The 12,103-nt window shown below is 45.0% G+C and overlaps 1 long non-coding RNA gene across 6 annotated transcripts in view, besides 6 other annotated features; it reads left to right on the top strand.

The window, feature by feature from the left end:
* Positions 9,260–9,932: an enhancer, noted in NCBI's record as "NANOG-H3K27ac-H3K4me1 hESC enhancer chr6:159289820-159290492 (GRCh37/hg19 assembly coordinates)". NCBI's record gives its function as "activates a minimal SCP1, AML or CMV promoter by ChIP-STARR-seq in naive H9 embryonic stem cells {active_cell/tissue: H9 hESC(naive)}" and the evidence as "EXISTENCE:reporter gene assay evidence [ECO:0000049][PMID:30033119]".
* Positions 9,933–10,605: an enhancer, noted in NCBI's record as "NANOG-H3K27ac-H3K4me1 hESC enhancer chr6:159290493-159291165 (GRCh37/hg19 assembly coordinates)". NCBI's record gives its function as "activates a minimal SCP1, AML or CMV promoter by ChIP-STARR-seq in naive and primed H9 embryonic stem cells {active_cell/tissue: H9 hESC(naive and primed)}" and the evidence as "EXISTENCE:reporter gene assay evidence [ECO:0000049][PMID:30033119]".
* Positions 9,933–10,675: a biological region, named in NCBI's record as "NANOG-H3K27ac-H3K4me1 hESC enhancer GRCh37_chr6:159290493-159291165".
* Positions 10,106–10,425: a silencer, noted in NCBI's record as "silent region_17747". NCBI's record gives its function as "represses an Ori minimal core promoter by ATAC-STARR-seq in GM12878 lymphoblastoid cells {active_cell/tissue: GM12878}" and the evidence as "EXISTENCE:reporter gene assay evidence [ECO:0000049][PMID:35858748]".
* Positions 10,286–12,103, top strand: part of LINC02901 (long intergenic non-protein coding RNA 2901) — a 40,540-nt gene continuing 38,722 nt past the window's right edge. For 3 of the 6 annotated variants that reach the window (NR_160982.1, NR_160981.1, NR_160976.1), the window contains exon 1: positions 10,501–10,782. This is a non-coding gene — a long non-coding RNA (long intergenic non-protein coding RNA 2901). Of the gene's footprint in view, positions 10,450–10,500; positions 10,783–12,103 lie in introns of those variants that run through there. The other 3 variants (NR_160977.1, NR_160980.1, NR_160978.1) reach the window with 2 other exon arrangements.
* Positions 10,506–10,675: an enhancer, noted in NCBI's record as "active region_25374". NCBI's record gives its function as "activates an Ori minimal core promoter by ATAC-STARR-seq in GM12878 lymphoblastoid cells {active_cell/tissue: GM12878}" and the evidence as "EXISTENCE:reporter gene assay evidence [ECO:0000049][PMID:35858748]".
* Positions 10,606–11,279: an enhancer, noted in NCBI's record as "H3K27ac hESC enhancer chr6:159291166-159291839 (GRCh37/hg19 assembly coordinates)". NCBI's record gives its function as "activates a minimal SCP1, AML or CMV promoter by ChIP-STARR-seq in primed H9 embryonic stem cells {active_cell/tissue: H9 hESC(primed)}" and the evidence as "EXISTENCE:reporter gene assay evidence [ECO:0000049][PMID:30033119]".

The raw sequence follows: 12,103 nt of genomic DNA on the forward strand, positions 1-12,103 counted from the left end.
GACTCTGTCTCAAAAAAAAAAAAAAAAAAAAAAAAAGTAAGGCCGGGCGGCTCACACTTGTAATCCCAGCACTTTGGAAGGCTGAAGTGGGAGGATTGCTTGAGCCCAGGAGTTTGAGACCAGCCTGGGCAGCATGAAGAGACCTCATCTCTACAAAACAATTTAAAAAATTAACCAGGTGTGATGGTGCACACCTGCAGTCCCAGCTCTTTGGGAGGCTGAGGTGGGAGGATCACATGAACCCAGAATGTGGAGTCTACAGTGAGCCATGATCACACCACTGCACTCCAGCCTGGACTACAGAGTGAGACCCTGTCTCAAAAAAAAGAAAAAGTTGCAGGCATGATTTCCTTGTACCTCTAAAAACATTAGTATATATGGCCCACAAACAAAGACACTCTTCCATACACCCTCAGTATAACCATCAAGATCAGGACACCCTGTTCAATGTTAACCAGTTGTCCAAATGATCTTATTTTTTAATAATTAAATTAAATTTCAGATTCAAGGGGTATACGTGCAGGTTTGTTACATGGGTATATTGCATAATGGTGACGTTTGGGCTTCTAGTGTACCTGTCCCCCAAAGAGTGAACACTGTACCCAATAGGTGATTTTTGAACCCTCACCCCTCCCACCCTCTGAATGATGTTCTTTGTAGCCAAATGATCCAGTCCAGGATCAGGCACTTCATTTAGTTGTCGTGTTTCTTTAGTCTCTGTCAGTCTGGAACGTTTCCTCAGTCTCTCCTTGTCTCTCAGAACAGTGACATTTTGAAGATTACAGGCATTATTTTGGAAAATGTTCCTCAATTTGGGTTTGTGTGATGTTTTCTCAGAGATTCAGATTATGCATTTTGGAGGAATTTCGCAGAAATGATTCATGTTCTTATTGTATCTTATCAGGGGGCACGTGGTTCTGTTTGTCCCATTATCGATGACGTTAACTTTTATTTTTTGGCAGCTCCTGCCTGAGGTTTATCTACAAATGACACAGAAAGGACACCAGGCCCATTCAGATGGCAACCCAGGAAGACACCAGTCCTTCTGTCCTCACATTAACAGAAGGAGGCCTCTGCTCGAGAGCCTTCATGGGGGCTGAGGAACCTTTGGGAGCCTGAGCTGATGGAGACTGGGCCTAAGCCTTTGGCCTACAGAGTCTGAGACCCTGGTGATGTGGGCGCCCCAGGCAATGTGGGCACCAGTACACTTCCTGAACTTGGGCTGAGCAATGAGGACAAGTCAATTGAGCCTGTGGCTTTGGGGATCTGCCTTGGGATTTCTGAGGGCCCTGATGGCCTCTGCAAGTACACTCCCAGCCTTGGCATTGTTGACCTGCTTCTTCTCCAGGCCCTATTTTTTTTCTTTTTTTGAGACAGTGTTTCCCTCTTGTTGCCCAGGCTGGAGTGCAATGGCACGATCTCGGCTCACCGCAACCTCCGCCTCCTAGGTTCAAGCAATTCTCCTACCTCAGCCTCCTGAGTAGCTGGGATTACAGGCATGTGCCACCATGCCCAGCTAATTTTTTGTATTTTTAGTAGAGACGGGGTTTCTCCATATTAGTCAGGCTGGTGTCGAACTCCCAACCTCAGGTGATCTCCCCGCCTCAGCCTCCCAAAGTGCTGGGACTGTATACAGGCGTGAGCCACTGCGCCTGCCCTGTCCAGATCCTTTTTGTGCTTCTTTGCAAACTATATGTTTCTCAGGAACATCTTCATGGTTTATTGATGCCATGTGTGTGTCATTTTGAGGACTGGTTGTGTGCGACGTAGTTGTTAGACTTATCCATGTTTGCACTCTAGTCGGCCAATGATTTAACTTTGATCGCTTGATTCAGGTGGTATCCGTCAGGTTTTTCCACCATCAGTTACTTATTTTCTCTTTGTTTTTAATAAGTACTTATTTGAGACTATATAAATGTCCTATTCCTCATCAAACTTTCAGTCACTAGTTTTAGCATCCATTGAAGTTTCTTCCTTAATTATTACTATGATGGTTAGCAAAAGCTGATTTTCTAATTCTGTCATTCTATCTACACTTACTGGTTGCACGCTACTATAACATTGAGCTTTCCCTTTTAATATCTATCTATCTATCTATCTATCTATCTATCTATCTATCTACCTCAGTATGGACTTGTGGATTCCTATTTTATTCGATGAATTTATCATCTCTTATTACCATTATATATCTTGATACTTTAATTGTTCCAGACTTGGCTAGTGAGAGCACATTCAAGTTGGCTTCTGTGTCCTTTGGACTTATTTCCATTATACTTTGAGTGCTTCCTGACTTTCTGGCCAAACAAGATGTTCTAGGCTCCTTCTGTACTTTCTCTGACTCAGCCGTGGAACCAGGAAGCCCTGCTCCTTTTAATAGAGAATGATTTTTAGAAACCAAGATTTTGGTGATAGGTGTGCTTGCTGCTATTGGGATCTCACTGCTTTAGTATCTTTTAATAGTCAGAACTAGAAAATATATGCGTGTACACGCACACACACACACACAGATACTGAAAACCTACAGTGCATATTGATGCCTCCAATTCCAAAGCAATGCTACATGGTTTATTCAGCTTCTCCCCTTTCATACTTGTAACTCCCCCTTTCAACAGTAAGAAACCCGACACTCATTATCCTGAATATATTTACTTATTTGCTCAATCTCTCTGTATGAAACTAGTCTACTGACTCTGCCAGGCCACTGCCCTGCTTAGCAAACTCTCTTTGTGTGGGCCACTGATCTCAAGGGCTTTAGAACTGAATTATTAAGGAAAGAAGACAGGAAAGCCTTGGTTTGCTTTTAGAATGGGAATATTATAGATTGTAAAGACCTTATATGTGTGGATCAGCAACACTAGCAACATGGATCAGCTTAGGAAGGTGACTTGGTCAGGCGCGGTGGCTCACGCCTATAATCCCAGCACTTTGAGAGGCTGACGAGGGCAGATCATGAGGTCAAGAGATTGAGACCATCCTGGCCAACATGGTGAAACCCTGTCTCTATTAAAAACACAAAAATTAGCTGGGTGTGGTGGTGTTCGCCTGCAGTCCCAGCTACTCCGGGAGGCTAAGGCAGGAGAATCGCTTGAACCTGGAAGGTGGAGGTTGCAGTGAGCCAAGATTGCGCCACTGCACTCCAGCCTGGTGACAGAGCAAGACTCCATCTCAAAAAAAAAAAAAAAAAAAGAAGGTGACTTCAGAAGTTCTGATTTTATGTCCTTTTTTCACTAACAATCTGTGACACACTTTATGTACAGAGATGAAGTAGGGCTTCTGGATATCCTGAAGTCCCTAGGTTACTGAGACTGTCAGGTATTGCTATTTTGGATATTGCATTTAAAGAGAAGTTTGCTATATTTTATGCATGTTTAGGTGTTTTCATAGTGAATGTGTTTTCAAATTAGATTGGCCTCTTTTCAAAATATATAAGGCTGGGCGCAGTGGCTCACGCCTGTAATCCCAGCACTTTGGGAGGCTGAGGTGGGTGGATCACGAGATCAGGAGATCGAGACCATCCTGGCTAACACGGTGAAACCCCGTCTCTACTAAAAATACAAAAAAATTAGCCGGGCATGGTGGTATGCGCCTGTAGTCCCAACTACTCGGGAGGCTGAGGCAGGAGAATGGCGGGAACCCAGGAGGCGGAGCTTGCGAGCCGAGATCTCGCCACTGCACTCTAGCCTGGCCACAGAGCGAGACTCAGTCTCAAAAAATATATGTGTGTGTGTGTGTGTGTGTGTGTGTGTGTGTGTGTGTGTGTGTGTGTGCGTGTATACACATACATACAGAGAGAGAGAGAGAGGGAGAGAGACAAGATCTCACTATGTTACCCAAGCTGGTTTCAAACCTCTGAGCTCAAGTGATCCTCCCGTCTCAGCCTCCCAAAGTGGTAGGATTACAGGCATGAGCCACTATGCCCAGCCAGATTGTTCCCTTTATTACCAGAAATTTTGGTCTTGAACACGAGTTTGAAAGTATCTTAGTTGAGTAATTCCTCTGAAAAGTCTGCCTGTACTTCTACTGGCAAGTAAACTGTTAATGTGGCCAGGTCTAGAATGAAGGCCACTGGCTACCCCCTGGAAACTTCCAGTCCTTGGAGAATGCCTGGGAAACCTCTGGAAAACATCCAGACATCAGGCCTTTCCAAGGTCTGCCCATCTTGACTCCTATGCCTGGTGGAGTGAACCAGCTCATTCTAAGAGGCTTTCGGGCACCTCTGTGAAGCTGCTCACTCAAGAGTCCATGCAATCACCACACAGAGTTTCAGCCACTGACCCATCATCCAAAGTGAGCAGCTTTGGAGAAGGGGCTCATGCCCCAGGACTAGGTGAATGTGTCTCATGATTCCTCCCCGCAGCCATAAAAGACTTTATTTTGCATTCCGTGCATTTTTAGGATTGCTGCTGTAAAATGCTACTCTGGTGAGCCATCCTGCCCAGATCCACCTAAATGTGGTACAATTCCTTAGTTTCACTGTGGAGGAAATAATCAAGACTCCTCAAAGCAAGGCACAGCGAATGGCTTGAACACTTCTGAATTTCATTCTGATGGATTTTGATCCCATATTCTTTGAGACAGCTGTTTCTGTAGAATCGGTGACTTCTTTCCAGACTCAGATGTACCTCTGAACTGATTTTTAGCTGTTCATTCTGTACTATGCATTTCTTGTGCTCTGATTTTTTTTTTTTTTTTTTTGCAGGAATGCTGCCTTCATATCACCAGTAGTGTTTATGTTAGAATGTGCCCCTTCAGTGACTGTGGCAGTCTGCAATGTATTAATCCACTCAATGGCTAGGGCCTTTAACGAGTATTATATACTTCCAAGAAGGTGCTAGCAGAGAGCCTCACCATGCATTTTACAGCAAAGAAGTGAGCAATGTCATTAAGACACCCTCCAACTTGCAGTTTTTAGACAGAAGGCCAATTCTGTATGTATAAGAACACTGTATGTATTAAACGTGGTAATGATCTCCCAGGCTGCTGGAACCATTTGTTCACTATCACAGAACCATGACTGATGACATCTGGTAAAATGCTTTCCCTAAAAATCCTGCAAATTCACCTGACGTTCTGGTTCTGGGTAAAACAGAGACAGTAAAATATCTTGAGGCAAATATTAAGGACAATACCACAGCCCAGGAGAACTGGACACTAGAGCCGAGTCTTCCCTTTTTCTTCCTTCTGTACAGCATGGAAAGCCAGTCAGCAGGCTCCAGGAAGCAGCCTTTCTGATATTCTCTTTGCTTTTTTTTTTGAGACAGAGTCTCGCTCTGTCACCCAGGCTGGAGTGCAGTGGCACAATCTCGGCTCACTGCAACCTCTGCCTCCCGGGTTCAAGCAATTCTCCTGCCTCAGCCTCCTGAGTAGCTGGGACTACAGGCACGCACCATCATGCCTGGCTAATTGCTGTATTTTTAGTTGAGACGGGGTTTCGCTGTGTTGGCCAGGCTGGTCTCGAACTCCTGACCTCAAGCGAGCTACCAGCTTCGGCCTCCCAAAGTGCTGGGATTACAGGCGTGAGCCACTGGGGCTCCCCACTCTGATATTCTCTCAACTGCCTGTAAGCTCCACACTGCCCTCAGGATGGTGGTCTAATGCCTTAGCGTGGCTGTCAAGCCATCTGTGTTTTGACTGACCTTATCCCCCGACACTCCCAGATCGTGAGCCTTGTGCTTGGTGTTGCCTACAATCTCCATAGCCTTCCCCATCCTTCCACCTTTGCACACCTACTTAAATTCCTCCATGGTTGCAATTAGCTCTCAGCTGCCTTATTTGCTTATTCATCTCTCACTCCACTAGACTGCAAGCCCTTCCATAGCAGGAAACATGAACTACTCCTATTTATTCCTATGTACATGCTTGGGACATAGAAAGCAAGAATTATTTGTTGAACGACTGGATGGATGAATGAATGCTTCAAAAGAGCCATTTAAAATGTAGATTCTCATTGAATGCTCAGGTTTCAGGGTGATGGCTGTGTTCACTTGTTTAGCAATAGTAGAGGACATTTTCACTACCTGCTAGCGTTTGGCTCCTCAGTTTTGTTTAATAGAAGATGTAGTATTGGGGCAACAGTAATGAGTTAGAGAACAGGCAGGTTTTCAACAGCAGCCCTTTATTGCAGCAAAAATTTATTGCAGCAAAAGATAATCTGAGCCAACCACAACCTAAATCACTGTTGCTGGCAATGACAGGAGTTAAAAGGAGAATCAAAATGATTATGTTGAACCACTCTGGCATCCGGCATCTATTACAGTGCATCCTCAGTTCATGTTACTATTTTTGTAGCTAATAACATCAGTTTTTTCAATAATTGATCTTACATATTTAATATATATGTTAATTTCACATTACTTAGATACAAGTGCTATGAAAGATTGCTAAGTCTAAAAGCAGAAGTGAATGTGGTCTAAAAAAGTGAGTTTGATGAATTTCTTTTCTATTGAGCTGGCTGCTCATTTGACTAAATCAACTAATCCACACAGGTGTTTGGGTGTCAAGTACGTGTTGCCTAAGTCATATTCTTTTGAGCTAGAAAAGTTGTTCCACTTAATTTCAAACCATTTTGTTAATACTTTCCAAATTTCTGGAAATCTGCTCATTTAAAACTTACTTGGATGTCTAATGGTTTGCAAATTTTGTATTTTAGCAGTAGTATCCACCACTACCCTGATGTGCAACACACACTGCACATTTTACAACTTTATACTTGAAGACTTAAAAGTCTCCCTTTGACTGATTAGCGGTGTTGAAAATGATGGGTCATGTCTATGATGCAAAATCAATTGACAAAAAATACTGAATGGCTTTAAAAGGGAAAAGCATCTCTGAATTATGTTTGTAAAGGAACATCTTTAATTTTTCTTAAATTCTACTTTCTGTTCTTAGTTTTTTGTCTTTTTTTCTTTTTCTTTTTTATTTAGAGATGGGGTCTCACTGCATTGCTCAGGCTGGTCTGAAACTCCTGGCTTCAAGTAATCCTCCCACCTTGGCCTCCCAAAGTACTGGCATTACAGGCATGAGCTACTGTGCCCAGCCCAATGTTTTGCTTTTCAATAAACTTTGTTTTCTTTTTTATTTATTTAGTCTTACCAGACCAAATTATTTTCATTAAGAGTTATGGTCAGAGTTGGAGCTTGGGAGCAGTAAGAAGGAACAGGTTATAATAATAAAAATACTATTTCCCTAATACTTGTTTGTAAACCATGCTTTTTGTTTTTGTTTTTCAACATACCCATTTTTCTCAATAGGCTATATTGCTGAAAAGTTTTCAGAAAGTTCTATTAAAAAATAACCAAAGTCTTACACTTAATAGATTTTTAGTAACTTTGTTAAATGAATGTCAGACACAAAGCTAATGCTAGTATTTGGAAGTGATGTCGTTGAAGTTTTGATAAGGACATTTAAAGTTATGGATGATAATTAAGTCTTACTGTAAATTACTACCTGACTATGAAACTTAGTACAGTCAATGTAGCTCTGTAAGAGAAATAATAAAGATAGAATAGTCATGACTAGGTGCTTTTCTTCTTAATCATTCACGGGAAGGAGCAAAAAAGATAATGAACATTTTTTTGAATACCTATTTGTGCCACTCAATAATTCAGGAACTTCAGAGATCTCAGTTAATCCTTTCAGCCAAACAGGTTACAAATAAAGAATCTGAGGTTCATAAAAGTTTGGAAATTCATACAACTTCAGAGAGACGGGTTGGGGGATGGTGGGACTGGGGATTAAACCCAAGCCTGCCTGGCTCCAAGGCAGTTTCCACTGCAGGGTCTACTGTATTTGGAATTTCTATCAGGTAGTTCTGGTAGCTTTTTGGAAGAAAGTGTAGAAGAAAGTTTGAAAGTCATTCTTATGATCGGTTTGCTTCCTGGTTCCTAACCAACCAAGTGGATCTAAGTGAGGCCACTTTGTAAACAGGTCGTTCTCCAAATTGATGAACACAGCAGAATCTGAGACATTTTCAGAAACTTTGTACTGCAGATTTAATATGGTCTGTTGCTCAGGGGAAGCGGAGATTGTTGAGACTGTAGGCACCCTTATTTTCCCTCTCACATAGCAATCTTTTTTTTTTTCTTAAGACAAGGTCTCGCTCTGTCACCCAGGATGGAGTGCTGCGGTGTGATCACAGCTCACTGCAGCCTGAACCTCCTGGGCTAAAGTGATCTTTCCACCTCAGCCTCCCAAATAGTGGGGATTACAGGTGTGAGCAACCACGCCCCACAGTAGCAATCCTTTTCTTAAACCAGCAGCAGGACAAATGTCTTCCTGAAGATTTGTAACACCTGGTAGTGATCCCAACTCCTTCTGGGCCCGCTTAAGACTAAGTTTCTGGTTAGGAAAGAAGAAACTGCAGAGCTTAGTAGTTAAGGGCACACAGGAGTCAGACAACCTTGGGTGTGAATCCCGGCACTGCCATGGTACTAATGTGTTGCATGAGTCATGTTGAGAGGTGAGGCCAGCTGGACTTCCTGGGTCCAGTGGGGACTTGGGGAACTTTCCTGTCTTACAAGAGGATTGTAAAACGCACCAATCAGCAGGATTCTAAAAGTAGCCAGTCACGGGAAGGATTGAAAAAGAGGGCACTCTGATAGGATAGAAATGGAACATGGGTGGGGACAATAAGGGAATAAAAGCTGGCCACCCCAGCCAGCAGCGGCATCCCACTTGGGTCCTCCTCCATGCTGTGGAAGCTTTTTCGCTCTTCACAATAAACCTTGCTACTGCTCACTCTTTGGGTCCCGGCCATCTTTAAGAGCTGTAACACTCACCGCGAAGGTCTGTGGCTTCATTCTTGAAGTCACTGAGACCACGAACCCACTGGCAGGAACCAAGTCCAGACACAATGTTATGCAAGCTTTCTAGACCCTTTCTGTAAAATGGGTATAATAATAGTATCTAAGTCATGGGGATTTTGTGAGGATTAAATGAAATGCCTGTTAAGCATTTAAAATGCCTGGCACATTGAAAGTTCTTTTTGGAGACAAGTCTTGCTCTGCCGCCCAGGCTGGAGTGCAGTGACATGATCTCTGCTCACTGCAGCCTCTGCCTCCTGGGTTCAAGCAATTCGGTGCCTCAGCCCTGAGTAGCTGGGATTACAGGCATGCGCCAACACGCCCACCCAATTTTTGTATTTTTAGTAGAGATGGGGTTTCACCATGTTGGCCAGGGTGGTCTGGAACTCCTGACCTCAGGTTATCCTCCTGCCTCGACCTCCCAAAGTGCTAGGATTACAGGTGTGAACCACTGCCTTTGGGCCAAAAGTACTTAATTCTTATTGATGTCCACATTCAACAATTACTAGGTTTGTTTTTTCTGCATCCAGCTGCAAATGATCTTCAAAGTTGTGAACTCAGGAAATCTCAGAGGCGTTTATAGGCTTTCCAACCAGAGATGATATTTGTAATTCAAAGAAGTAAATAGAAATCCTTAAGAGAACCCCTTTCAAGCTAAGTTCCCATCTAATATGGAGTGGTGGCTTCGAATGATCCTTTTGGCTTATCTTTTTAAGTGTAAGAATTTTTGATGAATCACACTTCGTACCTATTTGGTCACTTTCACCAAAGTACAAAACCAGTCTGCCACCAGAAGAAATTTAATAACCTTGAGACTCAGAGAAGCAATGCTGCCTGATTGGTGGACAGCCAGACCAGTGAGGGTCAGACGTGGCTCTTCGGCTCCGGACACGGGAATGTGGTGGAAATGAGATCCTCCAGCGATTCTAAGGAGTGTTTTGTTCTTCTGGCTTAAGAGAAGGGCAGAGGACAGAACCAAGGGGAAAGAGAGACAGGCCCAGCCATTGTCTGACGTGAGGCACGATAACACATTAGAGGGCTGGTTTAGCAAAGGGCAAGGTAGAGTTGGCATTAGACGCGCTTGCAAAGGGAGGCGGGCAAGAGCTTCAAGACGCGAATGACACTTGAGCAGCCTGGGCTCACGTCTGGTAAGGTTTACGCCGCCTGTTCCCGCCATCTGGCAACTCCCTCCCAGAAGGGTGAGTTTGGTTCTTGGCAAATCCCCTTCGGACACACAAGCTCTTTTATTAAAATATAACCCCACTAACAGATTGCAGACTAGGCACAGAAGCCCCAAAGCACCCCCAGAGACCGCAGCAGTCCCGCCCCGCCGCCCCCGGATCCGCGCGGCTGCCAGAAGCTCCCCTCCCCCAGATCTTGGCCCCTCCCTGAGGCGCGCGAGCGTGTCGTCGCCCGCTCCCGGCCAATCAGGGCGCGCGACCAAAATAGCGCCATATAAAAGCTGGATGGCGGGCGCGGCCGGTGCAGAGCCTCGCGCTGGGGTGGGGTTGCGCGCGCAGGTGAGGGGGGCGGGGCCGGCGCGACCGGCGGGGCGGGGCGGACACTCCCACCGCGCACCTGCTTCTGCCTGACGTGTACCCGGAAGGTCGTCAGCTCAGGCTCCAAATATGTAACAGTGAGTTTCTAAGTGAGTCACACGGACGCGGTTGGTTTCCAGTGAGGCATAACTCATCGCTTCACTCTTCTCAACGGTTCCCTCTTCGGAAGGAAGCGCAGTCCGCAGCGTCGTCCGAGGGCGTGATCGCCTGCGTCGCACCCGCGTCTCCAGTGGCCACCCCTTGTCCTACAGGAACGCGCATCTGCTTAGCAGGCGCTGAGCCCTTGAGGAGGCCTAAAATGAATGAACGCGGCTGTGCCTCCTGAGCAGGCTCACAGTTGTGGGTGGGGGACAGAAGGGTGTCCATGCCTAAGGTCGACGGCGATAAGACAGACGTTCTTCCCAGGAGGAGATCAGTTCCAGGTGGGAGGCATTTCTAGGAGTCACCTTTCTCCGAGGAAGTGACCTGAGCTGTAGGAGGTGGAATCACAAAGGCTTTGGTGCCCTACACACCTGGGTTTTAGCCTCAGCTTGAGTCACTCACCCAGTCTGTGACGCTGAACACATCAGGAAACCTCAAACTTTCCCCATCTTTAAGATGCAGATAATAGCCGGTCACCATGGCGTGTGCTTGTAATGGCAGCTACTCGGGAGGCTGAGGCAGGAGGATCTCTTGAACCTGGGAGGTGGAGGTTGCAGTAAGCCGAGATCGTGCCACTCACTCCAGCCTGGGCAACAGAGCGAGACTCCATCTCAATAAATAAATAAATAACACTACATGACTGATAGCATATTTTTGAGGAGCATCTCTCCCCCTCCGTGCTTGGGTTTAATCCCCCCTTCCTCTCTCCCTCCCTCCCTTCCTCCCTTCTTTCTTCCTTCGTTACGTTTCTCTTCATTTCTTTTTTTCTCCATCATTCCTTCATTTTTCTTATTTTTTCCTAACTGATATAATTTACACACAATAAATCGCACAGAAATTAAGAGGACAGCTGGGTGAAGTTTTACATATGTATACACATGTCATTAGCCCCTAGGTCAAGATCTAGAACATTTCCATCACCCCAGGTTTCCAACTGCTCCTTCCGGTCAGTAGTACTTCCCCAGAGGTAACCACTATTCATTTGGACTTAAATTACCAAGTATGAGTTGTGTCTACTCTTAAACTTCATGTAATTGCAATCAAGCATTATGCTTTATTCCAAACTTGTCCAACCCGCACAGGCCACGGTTTTGAATGTGGCCCAACACAAATTTGTAAACTTTCTTAAAACATTGCGAGATTTTTTGTGACTTTATTTATTTATTTATTTTTTTGAGACAGAGTCTCTGTTGCCCAGGCTGGAGTGCAGTGGTGTGATCTCGGCTTACTGTAACCACCGCTTCCCAGGTTCAAGCGATTCTCATGCCTCAACCTCCCGAGTAGCTGAGATTACAGGCTGGTGCCACCACACCTGGCTAATTTTTGTATTTTTAGTAGAGATGGGGTTTCACCATATTGGGCAGGCCGGTCTCAAACTCCCGACCTCAGGTGATCTGACCACCTCGGCCTCCCAAAGTGCTGGGATTACAGGCATCAGCCACCGCGCCCCGCCATGTGATTTTTTTTTTTTTTTTTTAGCCCATCAGCTATTGTTAATTTTAGTGTATTTTATGTGTGGCCCAAGGCAATTCTTCCAGTGTGGCCCAGGGAAGCCAAAAGATTGGACACCTTTGCATTTCTGTTTTTTTTCACCCACCGTAG

Source organism: Homo sapiens, chromosome 6, assembly GCF_000001405.40.
Source record: "Homo sapiens chromosome 6, GRCh38.p14 Primary Assembly".
Taxonomy (NCBI): domain Eukaryota; kingdom Metazoa; phylum Chordata; class Mammalia; order Primates; family Hominidae; genus Homo; species Homo sapiens.